At 43.1% G+C, this 24,529-nt stretch overlaps 2 annotated features.

The window, feature by feature from the left end:
- Window positions 17,641-18,142: an enhancer, noted in NCBI's record as "H3K27ac hESC enhancer chr6:105681181-105681682 (GRCh37/hg19 assembly coordinates)". NCBI's record gives its function as "activates a minimal SCP1, AML or CMV promoter by ChIP-STARR-seq in primed H9 embryonic stem cells {active_cell/tissue: H9 hESC(primed)}" and the evidence as "EXISTENCE:reporter gene assay evidence [ECO:0000049][PMID:30033119]".
- Window positions 18,143-18,642: an enhancer, noted in NCBI's record as "H3K27ac hESC enhancer chr6:105681683-105682182 (GRCh37/hg19 assembly coordinates)". NCBI's record gives its function as "activates a minimal SCP1, AML or CMV promoter by ChIP-STARR-seq in primed H9 embryonic stem cells {active_cell/tissue: H9 hESC(primed)}" and the evidence as "EXISTENCE:reporter gene assay evidence [ECO:0000049][PMID:30033119]".

Below are 24,529 nucleotides of genomic sequence, written 5' to 3' on the forward strand. Positions count from 1 at the left end.
TGCGTATTCACACAAATTCATACACATCTGTCTGTTTCCAGTCTTCGGATAAATGCAGTAATTAACTAGGGATGGTGGTTGTGTTTAGAGTAATAAGGAAGTAAGTGGATTAGAAAGTGAGATAGGAAAAGGAGAAAGATCTTTCCTCCCACCACAGACAATGGAGACATTCTCTCTGCCTGCTTCCATTTTATTTATCTGAGTGGAAGTATCCCCTATGGACTATTCTGAGGTGTAGGATTTCATACTGGCCCTCTGGAAAATGTCCTATGTAATCAAAAAATGGGTTGTGTATTTTTGTGAGGTAGTGCCGGCTCAGTAACACACCACCTTGTGATAGATGTCTACTTATCTGTCTTCTTGTGATATTATCAGCCATTGATAGATGAAAAATAATCTATTATAAGAGATTACAAAATGGTGGCATTCTAGTTCTATAATTTCTTCATCTATTAACTAAAATAATGTCAGATGTTTGCTTCTTCAACCATTTGGTTACTGTATTAGAGTTCTATAGAGGGTTAGAACTAAGAAGATAGATATATGTATTTAAAGGGGAGTTTATTAAGTAGTAGTAACTCACATGATCACCAGATCACAATAGGCTGTCAGCAAGCTGAGGAGCAAGGAAGCCAGTCCGAGTCCCAAAGCTGAAGAACTTGGAGTCTGGGCTGGGTGCTGTGGTTCACGCCTGTAATCCCAGCACTTTGGGAGGCCAAGGTGGGCAGATCACAAGGTCAGGAGATCAAGACCATCCTGGCTAACACAGTGAAACCCCGTCTCTACTAAAAATACAAAAATTAGCTGGACATGGTGGCGGGCGCCTGTAGTCCCAGCTACTCAGGAGGCTGAGGCAGGAGAATGGCGTGAACCCGGGAGGCAGAACTTGCAGTGAGCCAAGATCACCACTGTATTCCAGCCTGGGTGACAGAGCAAGACTCTGTCTCAAAAAAAGAAAAACAAAAAACAAAAAACTTGGAGTCTGATGTTCAAGAACAGGAAGCATGCAGTACGGGAGAAAGATGTAGATGGGGAGGCTAAGCCAGTCTAACCGTTTCACATTTTTCTGCCTGCTTTATATTTGCTGGCAGCTGATTAGATGGTTCCCACCCAGATTAAAGGTGGGTTGGCCTTTCCCAACCCACTGACTCAAATGTAAATCTCCTTTGGCAGCACCCACACAGACACACCCAGGAAAAATACTTTGCATTCTTCAATCCAATCAAGTTGACACTCAGTATTAGCCATCACAAGTCCACCCCTTGTTAACTTGAACCCAAACACATCTCCTGAGATCATACAGAATCTTCAAATAAAGACAATAATAAGATCATAATTGTGCCTAACATAATACAACTATCCTTTGTACAACTGGAAATGCACCAATCCCCAATCCAAATGCTATTTCATAAAGTTAACAACACTTAAATGCTGATATGAAATCAATAAATGTTATGTCACATGATAAAGGAAAAGGAAATAAAACGAAGTTATTTTCTTAGTATAAGTTTACATGTACAAATGTGTTTTTTTGTTTTGTTTTTTTGAGACGGAGTCTTGCTTTGTCGCCTAGGCTGGAGTGCAGTGGTGCGACCTCTGTTCACTGCAAGCTCTGCCTCCTGGGTTCACGCCATTCTCCTGCCTCAGCCTCCCGAGTAGCTGGGACTATAGGCACCTGCCACCACGCTCGGCTAATTTTTTTGCATTTTTAGTAGAGACGGGGTTTCACCGTGATAGCCAGGATGGTCTTGATCTCCTAACCTTGTGATCCGCCTGCCTTGGCCTCCCAAAGTCCTGGGATTACAGGTGTGAGCCACTGCGCCTGGCCACAAATGTTTTTAACAAAAGAAAGAAATACTCATGACAATTACAGTCCTCATTTCTGCAGCTGGTCACATGGTTGTAGCTGGTATTGATGACTGCCTCCTTCTATCCATTTTGTATTCCCTTTGCCTTCAGTGAGCACCTCAGCAGATTTTTTTTTTTTCTGGTGGAGGGACTCAAACCTTCATCCCTGAAGTGTCTGGGCCATTTGTAGTCCTGCCTGGATTGGGCTGTCGTAGTTTCCCATTGACCTTAATCATAGGGCATGGTAATAGTAAGAGACGCCCCAGGGGATCACCAGTATTCCACGCTTATTCTTCTTACCTCTGTTATGGAGCAGTAGACTGATCTCATCATGATAGCCTGGGTCAATCACCCCAGCCAACACTGTAACTCCCTTCTTAGCCAGTTGACTTAAGGTAGGAGTAGTCCAAAGTGTTCAGGTGTAAGTCTTAACTTCCAGTTTAGTGGAATCGTTGTGTCTCCTGGTGGCAGAATTCCTCCCTCTGGAACTAAAACCTCTAGGCCACCAGAATGTAATGGGGAACAGGAAGCAAAAATTTTGCTAGTGGATCACTAGGGGTGATGGCATGTGGTACCACATCCACTTCCACCTCTTGATTCCTGGACCCGTGAATTCTGGCTATGGGAGAAACAATACCATATATTTGATGCTGATTCAGAGCATACATGGCCTTCTGGAGAACTTTGCCCCAGCCCTGCAAAGTATTATCACCTAGTTGGCATTGTAATTGTGATTTCAAAAGGCCATTCCACCATTCTATTAATCCAGCTGCCTCAGGATGATGGGGAATATCGTAAGACCAGTGAATTCCATGAGCATGAGCCCACTGCCACACTTCTTCAGCCATAAAGTGAGTGCCTTGGTCAGAGGCAATGCTGTGTGGAATACCGTGACGGTGGATAACGCATTCTGTGTGTCCACGGATGGTAGTCTTGGCAGAAGCATTGTGTGCAGGATAGGCAAATCCATATCTGGAGTAAATGTCTATTCCAGTGAGGATAAACCTCTGCCCTTTTCATGATGGAAGAGGTCCAATATAATCAACCTGCCACCAGGTAGCTGGCTGATCACCCTAAGGAACGGTGCCATATTGAGGGCTCAGTGTTGGTCTCTGCTACTGGCAAATTGGGCACTCAGCAGTGTCTGTAGCCAGGTCAGCCTTGGTGAGTAGAAGTCCATGTTGCTGAGCATAACCTCTATCACTGCCACCATGGCCACTTTTATCATGGGCCCACTGGGTGATGACAGGGGTGGCTGGGGAAAGAGGCTGGGTGGTGTCCACAGAACAGGCCATCCTATCCACTCGATTATTAAAATCCTCCTCTGCTGAGGTAACCTGTTGCTGAGCACTCACATGAAATACAAATATCTTCAGTTTTTGACCACTCAGAGAGGTCCACATCCACATACCTCTTCCCCAAGTTTCTTTGTCACCAATTTTCCAATCATGCTTCTTCTAAGTCCCTGACCATCCAGCCAAACCATTGGCTACAGCCCATGAATCAGCATATAATCGCACATCTGGCCATTTCTCTTTCCATGCAAAGTGCCCAGCCAGGTGTACTTCTCGAAGTTCTGCCCACTGGGAAGATTTCCCTTCACCACTGTCCTCTGGGGATGCCCTAGCAAGGGGCTATAGTGCTGCAGCTGTCCACTTTTGGGTGGTGCCTGCATATTGTGCAGAACCATCTATAAACCAGGCCCTAATCTTCTCTTCCTCTGCCAACGGATCATAGGGAACTCCCCATGAGGCCATCGGTGCAGGCTGGGGGAGAGAAGGCAGGGTGGCAGGAGTAGAGACCATGGGCATTTGAGCCACTTCCTCATGTAACTTAACTGTGCCTTCAGGACCTGCTCGAGCCTAATTACGTATATACCACTTCCATTTGATGATGAAATGGCGCGGTGCATGACTTACTTTATGGCTAGATGAGTCAGAAAGCACCCAGTTCATAACAGGCAGTTCAGGTCGTATGGTGACTTGATGACCCATCGTCAAACGTTCAGTTTCCACCAAAGCCCAGTAACAGGCCAAGAGCTGTCTCTCAAAATGAGATTAGTTATCTGCAGAAGATGGCAGGACCTTGCTCAAAAATCCTAGAGGCCTCTGCTGTGGTCCACCTATGGGGGCCTGCCAAAGGCTCCAAACAGCATCTCTTTCTGCCACTGACACCTCAAGCACCATTGGATCTGCTGGGTCGTATGGCCCAAGTGGCAGAGAAGCTGGCATAGCAGCCTGGACCTGGTGCAGAGCCTTCTTCTGTTCTGGACCCCACTCAAAACTGGCAGCCTTTTGGGTCACTCAATAAATGGGCCAGAGGAACATATTCAAATGAGGAATGTGTTGCCTCCAAAATGCAAATAGGCCCATTAGGTGTTGTGCCTGTTTCTTGGTTGTAGAAGGGGCCAAATGCAGCAACTTATCCTTCACCTTGGAAGGAATATCTCAACATGCCCTATACCACTGGACCCCTAGAAATTTTACTGAGGTAGAAAGTCCCTGAATTGTAGTTGCATTTATTTTCAATGCTGTGGCATGCTAATGTCTCACCAATCAGTCCAGTCTGTTTGCTACTTCTTGCTCACTGGATCCAATTAGCATAATGTCAGCAATGTAATGGACCAATGTGATATATTGTGGAAGTGAAAACTGATCAAGGTCTCTCTGAATCAGATTATGACAAAAGCTGGAGAGTTGATATACCCCTGAGGTAGGACAGTAAAAGTATATTGCTGGCCTTGCCAGCTGAAGCCAAATTGCTTCTGGTGGGCCTTACAGACAGGAATGGAGAAAAAGTCATTTGCCAAGTCAACGGCTGCATACAAGGTACCAGGAGACATGTTAATTTGCTCAAGCGATGCAAACACATCTGGTACAGCAGCTGCAATTGAAGTCATCACTTTGTTAAGCTTATGATAACACACTGTCATTCTCTAAGATCCATCTGTCTTCTGCACAGGCCAGATAGAGTTGAATGGGGATGTGGTGGGAATCGCCACCCCTGCCCCTGTGGCTTTCAAGCCCTTGATGGTAGCGCTAATCTCTGCAGTCCCTCCAGGGATGCGGTGTTGTTTTTGATTTATAATTTTCCTAGGTAGAGGCAGTTCTAATGGCTTCCATTTGGCCTTTCCCACCATAATAGCCCTCACCCTACCAGTCAGGGAGCCAATATGGGAGTTCTGCCAGCTGCTAAGTATGTCTATGCCAATTATGCATTCTGGCACAGGAGAAATGAACACAAGATGAGTCGGGGACCCAGTGTAAGTAGGACCTGAGCTAAAACTCCATTACCTCCATAAACCCCTACTTTAACTGGAGGACCACAATTCGGGTCCCCTGGAATCAACATCAGCTCACAGCCAGTGTCCAGTCGTCCCTGAAATGTCTGATCATTTCCCTTTCCCCACTGCACACTCTGGTAAAAGGCTGGATGTGTCCTTGGGGAAGGATGGGAGAAAGATTAGCATAAATTGTTGGTAGTGTAGTGGGGTTCTTCCTCAATGGGACCTGGGCCCCCCTTCATTCAAGGGATTCCAGGTCTGTAAACTGGCTCAAGTCTGGAAATTGACTGAGGGGCTATGATTCTCTGTTCAAATTAGTCTTTTGTTCATTTGACCTGGAAGTTATGCAGTAGGCTTCCTATCAATTTCACTTTTAAGAACAACATCATTAATTAGCCAATGCCAGAGCTCTATGTGAGTCAGACTATGTGATTGCTGCTTTGCCTCTGCTGTCCATTATGGTAGCTGTGCCCACCTTTCCTTTGACAGCTGGGTGCTGCCAAGTTGTCCGTGCCATCTCAGGATCCAATTATTCCCATTGTATTTAAATTTTGTAGTCGGGTGACTGTGGTTCCCACTGTTAGATCTGACATACAGAGAAGAGCAATTACAGGGCTCTTAAAAAATGCAGGTGCTGCCCTCACAAATCTATTTCACAAAGCATTGGTCAAGGGTATATCTTCTGGACCCTCCCAGCTGGGATGAGTAAGTCTAAAGTGACTAATCCACTTCAGCATCCCAATCTCCCTAAGCCTTTGGATCCCTTCCTCTACATTAAACCAAGGGAGATCAGGCATTTCCAGCTCACTCACAGTGGGCCATCTTTTAATCCATATTTCGGCTAACCAAGCAAATAAACTATTAGAACCTTTTTTAACTCCCCAAGTTGCAACATTAAATGCAGAATCCCTACTTAGTGGGCCCAAATCAATAAATTGAGCCTGATCCAACTCTGTTCCTTCCACCATTATCTCACACCCTTAATATCCATTCCCATGCCTGTTCTCCAGATTTCTGTTCATTTAAATTAGAGAACTCAAGCAGTTCTTTTCGAGTGTAGTGTACCTCCTCATGGGTCACACTCTCAACCTCACTTCTAGGGCCCTGCCAGGACTTATAGGTCAGAAGCAAACAGGAGTATTGGGGTGGCTCCTGAGGAGAATCAACATTATCTTGCCTGGCAACTGGCTCAGGGGAGGCCATCACTGTTGCCTCAGGCAGTGCAGGGTTTATCTCCTCAGAGAAAGGTGGAAAGGCTGATGCCAGTGTAGGTCAGGGAGGGAATGTTGCCACTACTGGTGATGGGGAAGCCGTTTCTTCTGGCAAAAAGAGTTCACCAGAGTTTACAAGCTCAGTGTCCCCAGCTTCATCCCACACGTCCCCATTCGAAGTTGCAGGGTCCCATTCTCCTCTAATCATTGCCCTCATTTTAACAGGAGACACCTGGTGAGGCTGTGCATGCACCTTTCATTGCAGGTCAGCCTCTTGCGTGATAAGAGCTTGTGTGTGATTTTCCACAATTTCAGCTCTTTCTCCACAGGAGATAAGACTCTCACTCAGGGCAATCTTAGAAGATTTGAGGCTCAATATCTGCTTCTGAAGCTGGGAGACAGAATCCCTGAGTTCATTATTTTCTTTCATCACTGTGTCTAGTGAACTTAGGAGCAACCAACCAGCTTCATTATGTTCCTTGGTTCTCCGCATATGGTCAAAGGTATTATGTATAGAGTCACTAAACTCCTTGTCTCTCACGAGCAGTGGATCAGGAGTGTCAAATACATTTATTTTGCCTAACTTTCTAAACAGTTTATGCCAGGGACTCTTGGTATCCTCCATACTATTAGAAGTACAGTCCTTAGTATTTTTGGGTCTAATCATTTTAAGCAGCCACCTCCAGAAACCCCCAAACCAACAAAATAACTCCATCCTTAATATTCTGTTCCTCTAGAACCACTCCTGGTACCAAAATCTGTATTAGGGTTCTCTAGAGGGACAGAACTAATAGGATAGACATATATATAAAGGAGAGTTTATTATTAACTCACATGATCACAAGGTCCCACAATCTGCAAGCTGAGGAGCAAGGAAGCCAGTCTGAGTCTGAGTCTGAGTCCCAAAGCTGAAGAACTTGGAGTCTGATGTTTGAGCGCAGGAAATATCCAGCATGAGAGAAAGACGTAGGTGGGGAGGCTAAGCCAGTCTAACCTTTCCAGGTTTTCCTGCCTGCTTTATATTTGCTGGCAGCTGATTAGATGATACTCACCCAGATTAAGGGCGGGTCTGCCTTCCCCAGCCCACTGACTCAAATGTTAATCTCCTTTGGCAACACCCACACAGACCTACCCAGGATTAATACTTTGCATCCTTCAATCCAATCAAGTTGACATTCAGTATTAGCCATCACAGCTACTTCATGAACTAACTAGAACCCAAAGCCTAAGGCAAAGTTTGAATACTAAGGTTTTACTGGGAGATGCAATTCAAGAGCAGCAGGAGTGAAGGAAAAAGTAAGTGAGGCAGGGAATGAGGAAAAGCAAATGCAAGGTGGTATGTTACTGAGCCAGCACAACCTCATAAAAATTACACAGCTGGTTGTTTGGTTATGTAGAACATTTTCCAGAGGGCCAGTGTGAAATGATACACCTTGGAATAGTGCATAGAGGACACTTCCACTCAGGCAAATAAAAATAGAAGGGCAGGCCAGGCATGGTGGCTCATGCCTATAATCCTAGCACTTTGGGAGGCCAAGGAGGGAGGGTCACTTGAGGCCATGAGTTGGAGACCAGTCTGGCCAACATGGTGAAACCTGTTCTCTACTAAAATACAAAAATTAGCCGGGTGTGGTGGGGTGTGCCCGTAACCCCAGCTACTCGGGAGGCTGAGGCAGGAGAATCACTTGAATCTGGGAGGTGGAAGTTGCAGTGAGCTGAGATAGACCCATTGCACTTCAGCCTGGGCAAAAGGGTGAGACTCTGTCTCCAGAAAAAAAAAAAAAAGGGATGGGGGCGCAAAATCTCATTACTCGTGAACAATTAGTTTTTCCTTCCCTACCCTTGAGTTCATTGACCATATAATGTTACTGTTAGTGGGCAAAATAAACTGAGGCTCTATTGCAAATATACTGTGAATATAATTCAACTCTCAGGCTGCCTGTGCATCATTAGGGGAGGAAGGGAAGCAAACTTATCTGCTGATAATTTCCTATATTCTATCTCTCATTGGTCAAAGTTTACCTTGAGGTGTAACTCCTCTAACCCTCCAGACTGAGCTGTCAGACTGGCCAGGGCAGCATCTGGAGAAGTCAGATCCCTTGCACTAATGATTGGCACTTTATCTGGGTCCAGAAGTAATGGGAGGAGCCAGTACCTTGGTGCCTTCCCCCTCAGGATGGACCAGGGCACCAGAGCAGCTGTTCCCAAGGCAGCAGGGATGACCACAGCCATGCTCAGAGCCCAGCCCTTGACTCGGGAGGCCGACACAGTAGCAGTGTTAGGAGGGCAGACAGTGATGGTGGTGGTGGGGATGTCCATTAAACAAGTGGCTGGAAACTCGCGACAGGTGGGGATGTGCAAATATGGAGAGGTACATGAACTACCTTTTATGTGCTTGAGGTAGACTGCATATAAGAGGCAGGATATGTTCTTGACTTTCTCTTTTAAACAGCTTTTCAGATAGAGTTGACTTCCATAGATCCTCTAAGAGTGATAATGAAGGTTCTAAATTTTGTTTTGTTTTTTGGATTTTTAAAAAAACATAAGGATTTATTTCAATCCATTGGAATTTATATTTCACATACATGAAATACACTTTTATAAATGTCCGATTTGTCCCTTCTTTGGCAAGTGGGAGCCACTACAAGCTGGTTCCTGACTCCTACCAACATGACCCAGAAGTCTTTGAGAGCTTCCTTGCTTTGTGGCATGACAAAGTATCTTGTACATTTCCTGACCCAGACCTGGCATCAGCCATTTCTGCGAGGAGCCCTGGTTCATTTTGGTGGGGAATGGTATTCAGAGCCACAACCTGGGCATGAATTGTAAAGTGGCAGAACACTGCAAGGAAATCCAAGTCTCAGATTTGTTAAATAAAAGGTTTCAAGAATAGAAAAATGAGGTTATCAACAGGAGAACTAAATTTTGACAAATGCATGAGGAAAACTTGTGTGCAAACTCAAGGAGACAGACAAGGGAATGTCCCTTTGGGATGGCAAAGTGTTTTGTGAATACAAAGAAAAGGTACATGGAGTGGGTCTGGGATGAGGAGGCGATGAGTATGGAGATGTACATAGTGGTCAAACAAAGTCTGGGGTTATATGCTGTGCCAACCTGTTTGAGCTGTTTAGATCATTAAACATGATTGAATTCATGTGGGAAGTATCATTTGGAAATAGTTTGGTGATTTTCTTTCTGTCTGTCTCTCTTCTCTCCTCTCTCCTCTTCTGACAGTCTCGCTCTGTCACCCAGGCTGGAGTGCAGTGGCGCAATCTTGGCTCACTACAACTTCCATCTCTCAGGTTCAACCAATTCTCAATCCTCAGCCTCCCAAGTAGCAGGATTACAGGCACGCACCACCATGCCCAGCTAATTTTTGTATTTTTAGTAGATGCGGGGTTTTACCGTATTGGTCAGTCTGGTCTCGACTCCTGACCTCAAGTGATCCACCTGCCCCAGCCTCCCAAAGTGCTGGGATTACAGGTGTGAGCCACTGTGCCCAGCCCCTGTCACTTTCTTTATAGATAAGATGTTGACTTTAAAACAGTTCTGGGGCTTAGTTGGGTAGGGCAAAGATTGAAGTGTTCTGAATAGGCCAGTGGCCACCACGAAAGGCAGGGGTCAGCTAGGGGCAAGCAGAATGTAGTTAGAAGGTGGCTGCTATGGACAGCCAGAAGGGTCCTGTGAGTGTTCAGACCTGCAGTTCTAACTTCATCCACTGCAATTCATCTCCTGATTTCTAGTCTTAATTTCCACTGGTGACCATTCATTAGGGACTCTCTTCCTCTTTCCCAGTTCCTGACTTGGCTGGTGGTTTCTGAGTGGCTGTATCTTCTAGGACGAGGATCCCTAATTAGTAGTGGGAAATATCTTTTGGTCCTGAAGTCACACCTGGTAGATCTGCAAGCTGATTAGAGTACAGGCATGTGGCAGGGTTTAAGATTGAACTACTTTGGGATAGGAACTTCCATGGCAAGTTTAAAATATGTTCTGATAAATGAGACCCTGTGAACAGTGTCACATTACTTGTATCAAGATACATCTAAGCGTCAGTAGCAAAGACACTCCAAAATGCCATGACTTTAGTAATGAATAATAAATAAAATGTCTCTCTCTCTTTCTCTCTCACACACACACACAGACACACACACACACACACACACACACACACACACACACACACACATAGTTCCAAAGTGAGTGCTGCAGGTTGGTGGGACAGCTCTGTTCACACGAGGACCCAGGTTTGTTCTAGGTCTGGGCTCTGCCAGCCTTTGGCCGGGGTGTCTCAAACTTCAAGCATGTTTGACTCCCCTGGAAATCTTACAATTCTATTTTTGTAGGTCTGTGACTGGACCTGAGATTCTGCATTTCTAACAGTTCCCAGATGATGCAATGCTTCTGTTCCCGGACCACACTGGAGTAGCAAGACCCTAGAGTGTTATCATCTGTCAAAGCTGTGACTGCCACATTCAGGTTCTAACCTGCAGGGAAGAGAGAAGGCTGGGGTTGGGGGACAGCGAGGAGGCCCCCTTGATGTCTTCAATCCCAGACCTGGTGATGGTACATAACACTTCCGCTTACATTATTTGGGTGAAAACCTGGTTATATGGTTACACCTAACTGCAAGGACATCTGAGAAATGTAATCTTGCCTGACAACCACATACAAAGCTACAATTCTATTACTTTCAAAGAGCGGGGAGCAGATGTTGGCAGACAAATCACAGTCCCTGCCACATTACTCTATCTAAAGTCCCCTCACACACCTCCCAGAGACTCCTGGTGGCCACCCAATCAGGTGAAGCGTACTCAGAAGTGTCCAGGAGGCTTTCCAGATCTGAACTTCACAGCATTCTTCCCTTCAGCATGTACTTGAAAAATTCTGCTCCCAGAATTTCCTGAGTATTTATTTATTTATTTATTTATTTAGGGGAGAATGTACAAGTCGACTTTTTCTTTCCACTTTTGTGACTTTGGAAGTGAACGAGATGACCAGATTATGTCTCTTTAAAATCGACTTGTTTAATTCTTCCTGTTTTGGTGAGAAGAAATTGATGCTTCAATCCCAGTCTCACATTATTCCAGCCAAGACAATCTTGCTGGGCTGAATCACTGTGCTGCAGATTTTCCTGTCCGATGAGTGGGTGAGATATAGGATAATAAATGAGTCCAGGCAGTTGGCAAGATGCACGGGCAGCCTGAGAGCAGAGTTATAATCACAGTACATTTATGATAAAACTGCAGTTTATTCTGCAGACATGACAACATTAGATGGTCAAAGAGCTCAAGGATAGTGAAGGAAAAACTAATTGTTTGTGAGTGATGAGATTTGCCCTTCATTTTTATTTACCTGACTGAAAGTGTCCAGTGTCTTTGCAGATGGAAATTTTCATTTCCTAATATTCTTCTCAATACTCAAGCAAATGAAATAGAATTAACTAAAAGCAGAGAGATATAATCTGCTTTAGCCGAAAGGCTAGAGGGGCAAGGAATAATCAAGCAAGCACTCTAAGGCTGCTTCGATATTTCCTTCATAAATGAAAGTGAAGGGAGAGTCATACTGGGCTGTTCTCTGACACACACACAAATTAAATATGCATATTGCCCTCTTAAAATACAGGCCTAGGGAACAATGAGCTCTTAGTTGGGTTTTCTTCCCTGTATGGCATTCTTATGCGGTCTTTCACTGAAATGAACAATTTCAATATAAGAAAAAAACCCTGAAATATAACTTGAAATCAAATAAGGCTGCCATGTCCTTCCATTAGCCCCAGCAGTTGCTTCCAATTATCATGACCAGATTTTCTCATTTGTGCTTTTTAGAGAAACAATATTTGTATTCAGGAGGAAAGCTGAGAATTTAATCATTTCATGTGATGCTCCAGACAGTACCAGCAGTGTCAAAAAGTAGGAAGAACTCTCCCTGGATTCTGAGTCAAAAGATGTACATTTAAATCCCCACTATTTTTTTTCTTTCTTTCTTTCTTTTTTTTTTTTTTTTAGATGGAGTCTCCGTTGCCCAGGCTGGAAGGCAGTGGTACAATCTTGGCTCACTGCAAACTCCGCCTCCCAAGTTCAAGTGATTCTCCTGTTTCAGCCTCCTGAGTAGCTGAGACTATAGGCGCCTACCACCACACCCGGCTAATTTTTGTATTTTAATAGAGACAGGGTTTTACCATGTTGGCCAGGCTGGTCTGGAACTCCTGACCTTGCGATCCACCCGCCTTGGCCTCCCAAAGTGCTGGGATTACAGGCATGAGACACTGTGCCCAAACTAAATCCCTTCTATTGGCTGGGCACAGTGGCTCACGTCTGTAATCCCAGCACTTTGGGAGGCCAAGGCAGGTGGATCACTTGAGTCAAGAGTTTGAGACCAGTGTGGCCAACATGGTGAAACCCCGTCTCTACTAAAAACAGAAAAATTAGCCGGGTGTGGTTGGTACGCACCTGTAGTCTCAGCTACTCGGGAGGCTGAGACAGGAGAATCACTTGAACTTGGGAGGCGGAGTTTGCAGTGAGCCAAGATTAGATTCTTAATTCAAGAATTAAGATTCTGCACATGTGCAGAATGTGCAGGTTTGTTACATAGATATACATGTGCCATGGTGGTTTGCTGCACCCATCAACCCATCATTTAGGTTTTAAGCCCAACATGCATTATGTATTTGTCCTAATGCTCTCCCTTCCCTTGCCCCCAAACCCTGACATGACCTGGTGTGTGACGTTCCCCTCCCTGTGTCCACGTGTTCTTATTGTTCAACTCCCATTTCTGAGTGAAAACGTGGTGTTTGGTTTTCTGTTCCTGTGTTAGTTTGCTGAGGATGATGGCTTCTAGATTAATCCATGTCCCTGCAAAAGACATGAACTCGTTCTTTTTTATGACTGCATAGTATTCCGTGGTGTATATGTGCTACAGTTTCTTTATCCAGTCTATCATTGATGGGCATTCAGGTTGGTTCCAAGTCTTTGCTCTTGTGAATAGTGCTGCAATAAACATACATGTGCATGTGTCTTTAAAGCAGAATGATTTATAATACTTTGGGTATATACCCAGTAATGGGATAGCTGGGTCAAATGATATTTCTGGTTCTAGATCATTGAGGAATCGCCACACTGTCTTCCACAATGGTTGAACTAATTTACGCTCCCACCAACAGTGTGAAGCATTCCTATTTCTCCACAGACTCATCAGCATCTGTTGTTTCCTGACTTTTTAATAATCACCACTCTAACTGGCATGAGATGGTATCTCAATGAGATGGTATCTCATTGTGGTTTTGATTTGCATTTCTCTAATGACCAGTGATAATGAGCTTCTTTCATATATTTGTTGCCCACATAAATGTCTTCTTATGAGAAGTGTCTGTTCATATCCTTTACTCACTTTTTGATGGTATTGTTTTTTTCTCGTAATTTAAGTTCCTTGTAGATTCTGGATATTAGACCTTTGTCAGACTGCAAAATTTTTCTCCCATTCTGTAGGTTGCCTGTTCACTCTGATGATAGTTTCTTTTGCAGTGCAGAAGCTATTTAGTTTAATTAGATCCCATTTGTCAATTTTGGCTTTCGTTGCAATTGCTTTTGGTGCTTTAGTCATGAAGTATTTGCCCTTGTCTATGTCCTGAATAGCATTGCCTATGTTTTCTTCTAGGGTTTTTCTGGCTTTGGGTTTTACATTTAAGTCTTTTAATCCATCTTGAGTTAATTTTTGTATAAGGTGTAAGGAAGGGGTCCAGTTTCTATTTTCTGCATATGGCTAGCCAGTTTCCCCAGCACCATTTATTAAATAGGGAATCCTTTCCCCATTGCTTGTTTTTGTCAGGTTTGTTGAAGATCAGATGGTTGTAGATGTGTGGTGTTATTTCTGAGGTCTCTGTTATGTTCCATTGGTTTATATATCTGTTTTGGTACCAGTACCACGCTGTTTTGGTTACTGTAGCATTGTAGTACAGTTTGAAGTCGGGCAGCTTGTTGCCTCCAGCTTTGTTCTTTTTGCTCAGGATTGTCTTGGCTATATGGGCTCTTTTTTAGTTCCATATGAAATTTAAAGTAGTTTTTCCTAATTCTGTGAAGAAAGTCAATGGTAGCTTGACGAGAATAGCATTGAATCTATAAATTACTTTAGGCAGTATGGCCATTTTCACGATATTGATTCTTCCTATCTATGAGCATGGAATGTTTTTCCATTTGTTTGTGTCCCCTCCTATTTCCTTGAACAGTGGTTTGTAGTTCTCCTTGAAGAGGTCCTTCATATCCCTGGTAAATTGTATTCCTAGGTATTTTATTCTCTTTGAAGCAATTGTGAATGGGAGTTCACTCATGATTTGGCTCTCTGCTTGTCTGTTATTGGTGTATAGGAATGCTTGTGATTTTTGCACATTGATTTGTATCTTGAGACTTTGCTGAAGTTGCTTATCAGCTTAAGGAATTTTTGGCTGAGATGATGGGGTCTTCTAAATATACAATCATGTCATCTGCAAACAGAGACAATTTGACTTCCTCTTTTCCTAATTGAATACCCTTTATTTCTTTCTCTTGCCTGATTGCCCTGGCCAGAACTTCCAAAACTATGTTGAATAGGAGTGGTGAGAGAGGGCATCCTTGTCTTGTGCTAGTTTTCAAAAGGAATGCTTCCAGGTTTTGTCCATTCAGTATGATATTGGCTGTGGGTTTGTCATAAATAGCTCTTATTATTTTGAGATATTTTCCATCAATACCTAGTTTATTGAGAGTTTTTAGCATAAAGGGCTGTTGAATTTTGTTGAAGGCCTTTTCTGCATCTATTGAGATAATCATGTGGTTTTTGTTGTTGGTTCTGTTTATATGCTGGATTACGTTTATTGATTTGTGTATGTAGAACCAGCCTTGCATCCCAGGGATGAAGCCAACTTGATCGTGGTGGATAAGCTTTTTGATGTGCTGCTGGATTCAGTGTGCCAGTATTTTCTTGAGGATTTTTGCATCGGTGTTCATCGGGGATTTGGCCTGAAATTTTCTTTTTTTTGTTGTGTCTCTGCCAGACTTTGGTATCAGGATGACGCTGACTTCATAAAATGAGTTAGGGAGGATTCCTTCTTTTTCTATTGATTGGAATAGTTTCAGAAGGAATGGTACCAGTTCCACTTTGTACCTCTGGTAGAATTTGGTTGTGAATCTGTCTGGTCCTGGGCTTTTCTTGGTCGGTAGACTATTAATTACTCCCTCAATTTCAAAACTTGTTATTTTCAAAGAACTTCTTTATTTCTGCCTTATTTTCATTATTTACCCAGTAGTCATTCAGGAGCAAGTTGTTCAGTTTCCATGTAGTTGTGCAGTTTTGAGTGAGTTTCTTAATCCTGAGTTCTAATTTGATTGTGCTGTGGTCTGAGAGACTTGTGATTTCCGTTCTTTTACATTTGCTGAGGAGTGTTTTACTTTCAATTATGTGGTTGATTTTAGAATAAGTGCCATGTCGTGCTGAGAAGAATGTATATTCTGTTGATTTGAGGTGGAGAGTTCTGTAGATGTCTATTGGGTCCACTTGGTCCAGAGCTGAGTTCAAGTCCTGAATATCCTTGTTAATTTTCTGTCTTGTTGATCTAATATTGACAGTGGGGTGTTAAAATCTCCCATTATTATAGTGTGGGAGTCTAAGTCTCTTTGTAAGTCTCTAAGAATTTGCTTTATGAATCTGGGTGCTCCTGTATTAGGTGCATATAAATTTAGGATAGTCAGCTCTTGTTGCATCGATCCCTTTACCTTTGTATAATGCCCTCTTTGTGTTTTTTGATCTTTGTTGGTTTAAAGTCTGTTTTATCAGAGACTAAGATTGCAACCCCTGCGTTCTTTTGCTTTCCATTTTCTTGCTAAATATTTCTCCATCTCTTTATTCTGAGCCTATATGTGTCTTTGCACAGGAGATGGGTCTCCTGAATACAGCACGTCGATGGGTCTTGACTCTTTATTCAATTTGCCAGTCTGTGTCTTTTAATTGGGGCATTTAGCCCATTTACGTTTAAGGTTAATAGTGTTATGTGTCAATTTGATCCTGTCATCATGATGCTAGCTATTTATTTTGCACAATTTGTTGATGCAGTTTCTTCATAGAGTCATTGGTCTTTATACTTTGGTGTGTTTTTGCAGTGGCTGGTACTGGTTTTTCCTTTCCATATTTAGTGCTTCCTTCAGGAGCTCTTGTAAGGCAGGCCAGGTGGTGACAAAATCTCTCAGCTTTTGCTTGTCTGTAAAGGATTTTATTTCTCCTTCGCTTATGAAACTTGGTTTGGGTGGATATGAAATTCGGGGTTGAAAATTCTTTAAGAATGTTGAATATTGGCCCCCACTCTCTTCTGGCTTGTGGGGTTTCTGCACAGAGATCTGCTGTTAGTCTAATGGGCTTCTCTTTGTAGGTAACCCAACCTTTCTCTCTGGCTGCCCTTAACATTTTTTCCTTCATTTCAACCTTGGAGAATCTGATGATTATGTGTCTTGGGGTTGTTCTTCTTGAGGAGTATCTTAGTGGTGTTCTCTGTATTTCCTGAATTCGAATGTTGGCCTGTTGCTAGGTTGGGGAATTTCTCCTGGATAATATACTGAAGTGTGTTTCCCAACTTGGTTCCATTCTCTCCATCACTTTCAGTATACCAATCAGTCATAGGTTTGGTCTTTTCACATAGTTGCATATTTCTTGGAGGCTTTGTTCATTCCTTTTCATTCTTTTTTCTCTAATCTTGTCTTCACACCTTATTTCAGTAAGGTGATCTTCAATCTCTCTTATCCTTTCTTCTGCTTAATCAATTTGGCTATTGATACTTGTGTATGCTTCACAAAGTTCTTGTGCTGTGTTTTTCAGCTCCATCAGGTCATTTATGTTCCTTTCTAAACTGGTTATTCTAGTTAGCAGTTCCTGTAACCTTCTATCAAGGTTCTTAGCTTCCTTGCATTGGGTTAGAACATGCTTCTTTAGCTCAAAGGTGTTTGTTATTACCCACCTTCTGAAGCCTAATTCTGTCAATTCATCAATGTCATTCTCCATCCAGTTTTGTGCCCTTGCTGGAGAAGGAGTTGCAATCATTTGGAGGAGATTCTGGTTTTTGGAATTTTCAGTGTTTTTGCACTGTTTTTTCCTCATCTTTGTGGATTTATCTACCTTTGATTTTTGAGGCTGATGACCTTTGGGTGGAGTTTTCATGTGGGGGTCTTTTTCTTTGATGTTGATGTTGTTGCTGTTTCCTAGTTTTTCTTCTAACAGTCAGGCCCCTCTTCTGCAGAAATGCTGCAGTTTGCTGGAGGTCCACTCCAGACCCTCTTTGCCTGTGTTTCGCCAGTGGAGGATGCAGGACAGGAAAGATTGTTGCCTGCTCCTTCCTCAAGAAGCTTCATCCAAGAGGGTCACTGGCCTGATGCCAGCCAGAGGTCTCCTGTATGAGGTGTCTCTCGACCCCTGTTGGGAGGTCTCTTCCAGTCAGGAGGCACAGGGGTCAGGGACCCACTTGAGGCAGCCTGTCCGGTAGCAGAGCTGGTGAGCTGTGCCTGGAGAATCCCTCTTGTCAGGATCAGCTGCTCTCTTCAGAGCCGGCAGGCAGGAATGATTAACTCTGCTGAAGCTGTGGCCACAGCCGCCCCTTTCCCCAGGTGCTCTGTCCCAGGGAAATGGGGCTTTTGTCTGTAAGCCCCTGACTGGGGCTGTTACCTTTCCTTCAGAGATGCCCTGCCCAGTGAGGAGGAATCTAAAGAAGCAGTCTGGCCATAGCCACTTTGCCGTGCTGTGGTGAATTCCGCCCAGTCCAAACCTCCCAGCTTCCTTAGCACTTTCAGGGGAAAATTGCCTACTAAAGCCTCAGTAAAGGCAGACGCCCCTCCCCCCGCCAAGCACAATCATCCCAGGTTGACTTCAGACCACTGTGCTGGCAGCGAAAAATTTCAAGCCAGTGGTTCTTAGCTTGCTGGGCTCCATGGGAATGGGACCTGTTGAGCGAGACCACTTGGCTCCCTGGCTTCAGTCCCCTTTCCAGGGGAGTGAACAGTTCTGTCTTGCTGGGGTTCCAGGTGCCACTGGGGCACAAAAACAAATACTGCAGCTAGCTCAGTGTCTGCCCAAACAGCTGCCCAGTTTTGTGCTTGAAACCCAGGGCCCTGGTGGTGTAGGCGCACAAGGGAATCTCCTGATCTGTGGATTGCAAAAATTGTGAGAAAAGCATAGTACCTAGGCCGGGTAGCAGAGTCCCTCACGGCTTCCCTTGGCTGGAGAAGGGAGGTCTCCTGGCTCCTTGCACTTTCTGGGTGAAGCGATGCCCCACCCTGTTTCTGCTTGCTCTCTCTGGGTTGCACCCACTGCCTAACTGGTCCCAATGAGATGAACAGGGTACCTCATCTGCAGTTGGAAGTGCAGAAATCACCCACCTTCTGCACTGGTCTTGCTGGGAGCTGCCGACCACAGCTGTTCCCATTCGGCCATCTTGGCCCCTCCCCAGGAATTATATTTTGTTCAAATATGTATTAGTTTAGGAAATGACCCAAAGGTGTTTTAAATAACATTTTTAAAAATTTGATTTTGCTGGTAAAATTAATTCAAATATTCTGTGTGGTCTAAGAGATCTTTCGAAAGAACTGGAGTGGGCCCTTCACAGTGGGATAAATAAAGAAGAAAATGGGGAAGGAGGAAAGCGTTGATTACACATGTCTTAAGAATGAGCAAAGGTACAAGGAAAAAATATATTAAGACAAAGCTAAGCTCCAGATTGACTGTAAGAACAAATCAGCAATCCTGAGAGGATTCACAGACCCTCTGAAAGAAGCAGACTGCTCCTGCAGAACCAGGAGACACCCCAAATACTGTGAGTGCCCCAACTGCAGAATTGGGAAAGGGAGATCCTCCTCTCCCAAACACACACTCCCACTGGAGAAGCTGAGCGTCTATTTGTGGGAGAAGTTTCTGACTTTACCTGGAGCTGAGTCAAGCTAAGCGAAATGCAGGGGTAGAGGAAGAAGCCCCTGGGAGCTCGCGGGGTCCCCAGTCAGCCCATTCCTGCCTGGCACCACAGGGATCCATCGGGAGGGGGGCCAGAGGAGCAGGGGGTAAAACCCCACAGAGGGCAGGAAATCTCTAGCTGAACTTTGTAACAATTTAAATGTGGCGAGAAGCCTCCTGGCCAGAAGTTGGAGGAGTGTTCGAATCCCACTTGCAGACTTCACAGGCAGGGGAAGAGCTAACGCCCTTTTCTTTCACAGCCCCAGTAGCCTAGGGCAAGTCTTCAAGCCTGTCTCCCCCTCTGCCTGGTAACAGACCTCGGGGCTGTTGCAGAGGGGCATGGTGGGAGTGAGACCAGCCCTGTGGTTTGCATGGGAGCTGGTTTGAGGCCTGTGACTGTCGGCTTTTCACTACTGCATGACTCAGCAGAGGCAGCCATAATCCTCCTAGGTACACAACTCCAGTGACCTGGGAATCTCAGCCCCATCACCCACAGCAGCTGCAGCAAGACCCACACAAGGAGAGTCTGAGCTCAGACACGCTTAGCCCTGCCCTCACCTGATGGTCCTTCCCTACCCACCTTGATAGTGGAAGACAATGGACACATAGTCTTCGGAGTTCTAGAGCCCCACCCAGCACTGATCCCTCTCCACACTACTTCAGCTGATGCTTTTTGGAAAGTACCACCTCCTGACAGGAGGCCAATCAGCACAAAAATAGAGCATTAAACCACCAAAGCTAAGGACCCTCATGGAATCCATTGCACCCTCCACCACCTCCACCGGAACAAGCACTGGTATGGTTCACATCACAGGACTCTGTGCAGACAACCCCCAGTACCAGCCCAGAGCTGGGTAGATTCACTGAGTGGCTAGACCCGGAAGAGAGAGACAACAATCACTCCAGTTTAGCTCACAGGAAGCACATCCACAGGAAAAGTGGGGAGAGTATTACATCAAGGGAACATCCTGTGGGACAAAAAAATCTGAACAACAGTCTTCAGCCCTAGACCTTCCCTCTGACAGAGCCTACCCAAATGAGAAGGAACCAGAAAACCAACCCTGGTAATATGACAGAACAAGGCTCATCAACACCCTCCAAAAATCACACTAGTTTACCAGCAATGGATCCAAACCAAGAAGAAATCCCTGATTTACCTGAAAAAGTATTCAAGAGGTTAGTTATTAAGCTAATCAGGGAGGAACCAGAGCAAGGCAGAGCCCAATGCAAGGAAATCCAAAAATTGATACAGGAAGTGAAGGGAGAAATATTCAAGGAAATAGATAGCTTAAAAGACAATCAAAAATTCAGGAAATTTTGGACACACTTTTTGAAATGCAAAATGCTCTGGAAAGTCTCAGCAATATATAATTGAACAAGTGGAAGAAAGAAATTCAGAGTTCCACCTGGGTGCAGTGGCTCACGCCTGTAATCCCAACACTTTGGGAGGCCAAGGCAGGCGGCTCATCTGAGGTCAGGAGTTTGGGATCAGCCTGGCCAACATGGCGAAACCTTGTGTCTACTAAAAATACACAAATTAGCTGGATGTGGTGGCACGTGCTTGTATCCCAGCATTAGGGAGGCTGAGGCAGGAGAATTGCTTGAACCTGGGAGGCAGAGGTTGCAGTGAGCCAAGATAGCGCCACTGCACTACAGCCTGGGCAACAGAGCAAGACTCCATCTAATAAAAAAACAACAACAACAAAACAAAATGAAACCAGAAATTCAGAGCTGGAAGACAAGGTTTTCAAATTAACCCAATCTGACAAAGACAAAGAAAAAATAAGAAAATATGAACAAAGCCTCCAGGAAGTCTGGGATTATGTTAAATGACCAAACCTAAGAATAATCGGTGTTCCTGAGGAAGAAGAAAATTCTAAAAGCTTGGAAAACATATTTCAGGGAATAATCAAGGAATCCTTCCCTGGCCTTGCCACAGACTGAGAAATGCAAATACAAGAAGCACAAAAAACACCTGGGAAATTCTTCTCAAAAAGATCCTCGCCTAGGCACATTGTCATCAGGTTATCCAAAGTTAAGATGAAGGAAACAATCTTAAGAGCTGTGAGACAGAAGCACTAGGTAACCTGTAAAGTGGAACCTATCAGATTAACAGATGTCTCAGCAGAAACCCTACAAGCTAGAAGGGATTGGGGCCCCATCTTCAACCTCCTCAAACAAAACCATTGTCAGCCAAGAATATTGTATCCAGCATCCTATGTGAAGGAAAGATACAATCATTTTCAGACAGATGCTGAGAGAATTCACCATTATCAAGCCACTTCTACAAGAACTGCTAAAAGGAGCTCTAAATCTTGAAACAAATCCTGGAAACATATCAAAACAGAACCTCTTTAAAGCATAAATCACACAGGATCTATAAAACAAAAATTCAAGTTTAAAAGCAAAAACAAAACAAACAAAAAAAAACAAAGTACACAGGCAACGAAGAGCATGATAAATGCAATTGTACCTCACATTTCAATACTAACATTGAATCTAAATGGCCTAAAAGCTCCACTTAAAAGATACAGAACCAAATAATTTTCTGTTTTTTCCTTAGATAATCTTAATTTTTTATCATTACACAAAGCTAAATATTCAGTGGTGATGTAATGAAAAATTACATCTTACTGTTGATGTATGTATGCTGTGGTACACAGGTGTCATTTTGTTGTCCCAGTACTACAGTGAAATACACAAATAAAAAGTTTATATAATGACTTAAATGTATTATATGTTAGAATTGACAACATAAACTACTTTTGCTTTGAAATGATGTATGTTTTAGTAAAATCATATTCAAATTTTTAAAAATGATACAGAACTGCAGAATGGATAAGAACTCACCAACCAACTATCTGCTACCTTCTGGAGACTCACCTAACACATAAGGGCTTACATAAACTTAAAGGGGTAGAAAAAGACATTTCATGAAAATGGACACCAAAACTGAGCAGAAGTAGCTATTCTTATGTCAGAAAAAAAAAACTTTAAAGCAACAGTGGTTAGAAGAGGCAAAGAGGGACATTGTATAATGGTAAAAGGCCTTGTCCAACAGGAAAATATAACAATCCTAAACATACATGCACCTAACACTGGAGCTCCCAAATTTATAAGACAATAACTAATAGACCTAAGAAATGAGATGGGCAGCAACACAATAATGGTGTGGGACTTCAATACACCACTGACAGCACTAGATAGGTCATCAAGACAAAGTCAACAAAGAAACAATGGATTTAAACTATACCTTGGAACAAATAGACTTAACAGACATTTATAGAACATTTCACCCAACAACTGCAGAATACACATTCTATTTAACAGTGCATGGAACTTTCACCAAGATAGACCAGATGATAGGCCATAAAACAAGCCTCAATAAGTTTAAGAAAATTGAAATTATATCAAGCACTCTCTCAGACCACAGTGGAATAAAACTGGAAATAAACCCCCAAAAGGAACCTTCAAAACCACACAATACATGGAAATTAAATAACCTGCTCCTGAATCATCATTGGGTTGAAAACGAAATCAAGATGGAAATTTAAAAATTCTTCAAACTGAATGACAATAATGACACAACCTATCAAAACCTCTGGGATATAGCTAAGGTGGTGCTAAAGGAAAGTTCATAGCCCTAAATGCCTACATCAAGAAGTCTGAAAGAGCACAAACAGACAATCTAAGGTCACATCTCAAGGAACTAGAGAAACAAGAACGAACTAAACCCAAACCCAGCAGAATAAAGGAAATAACCAAGATTAGAGCAGAACTAAATGAAATTTAATGAAATTGAAACAAAAAAATACAAAAGATAAAAAGCTGGTTATTTGAAAAGATAAATAAAATTGATAGACCATTAGCAAAATTAACCAAGAAGAGAAGAGAGAAAATCCAAACAACCTCACTAAGAAACAAAACAGGAGATATTACAACTGACACCACTGAAATATAAAAGATCATTCAAGGTTACTATGAACACCTTTATGCACATAAACTAGAAAACCTAGAAGAAATGGATAAATTCCTGGAAAAATACAACCTCCTAGCTTAAATCAGGAAGAATTAGATACCCTGAACAGACCAATAACAAGCAGTGAGATTGAAGCAATAATTTAAAAATTACCAGCAAAAAAATGTCCAGGACCGGATGGATTCACAACAGAATTCTACCAGGCATTCAAAGAAGAATTGGTACCAATCCTTTTGACACTATTCCACAAGACAGAGAAAGAAGGAGCCCTCCCTAATTGATTCTATGAAGCCAGCATCACCCTAATACCAAAATCAAGACAGGACACAACCAAAAAAGAAAACTACAGACCCATATCCTTGATGAACATAGATGCTAAAATCCTTAACAAAATACTAGCTAACTGAATCCAACAACATATCAAAAAGATAACCTACCATCATCGAGTGAGTTTTATACCAGGGATGCAGGGATGGTTTAACATACACAAGTCAATCAATATGATACACCGTATAAACAGAATTAGAAATATCACATGATCATCTCAATAGATGCATAAAAAGCATTCGACAAAATCTAGCATCCCTTTATGATTAAAACCCTCAGCAAAATTGGCATACAAGGGACATATCTTAATGTAACAAAAGCTATGATAAACCCACAGCCAACATAATACTGAATGGGGAAAAGTTGAAAGCATTCCCTCTGAGAATAGGAACAAGATAAGGATGCCCACTTTCACCACTCCTCTTCAACATAGTACTGGAAGTCCTAGCCAGAGCAATCAGACAAGAGAAAGAAAGAAAGGACATCTAAATCAGTAAGGAGGAAGTCAAACTGTCCCTGTTTGCTGACAATATGATCATTTACCTTGAAAACCCTAAGGACTCCTCCAGAAGCTCCTACAACTGATAAAAGAATTCAACAAAGTTTCCAGATACAAGATTAATGTACGTAAATCAGTAGGTCTTCTATCCACCAACAGCAACCAAGCAGAGAATCAAATCAAGAACTCAACCCCTTTTACAATAGCTGCAAAAACAAACAAGCAAACAAAAAACAATAAAATACTTAGGAATATACCTAACAAAGGAGTTGAAAGACCTCTGCAAGGAAAACTACAAAACACTGCTGAAAGAAATAGATGATGCAAACAAATGGAAACACATCCCATGCTCATGGATGGGTAGAATCAATGTGAAAATGACCATGCTGCCAAAAGCAATCTACAAATTCAATGCAATCCCCATCAAAATA

Source organism: Homo sapiens, chromosome 6, assembly GCF_000001405.40.
Source record: "Homo sapiens chromosome 6, GRCh38.p14 Primary Assembly".
Classification (NCBI taxonomy): domain Eukaryota; kingdom Metazoa; phylum Chordata; class Mammalia; order Primates; family Hominidae; genus Homo; species Homo sapiens.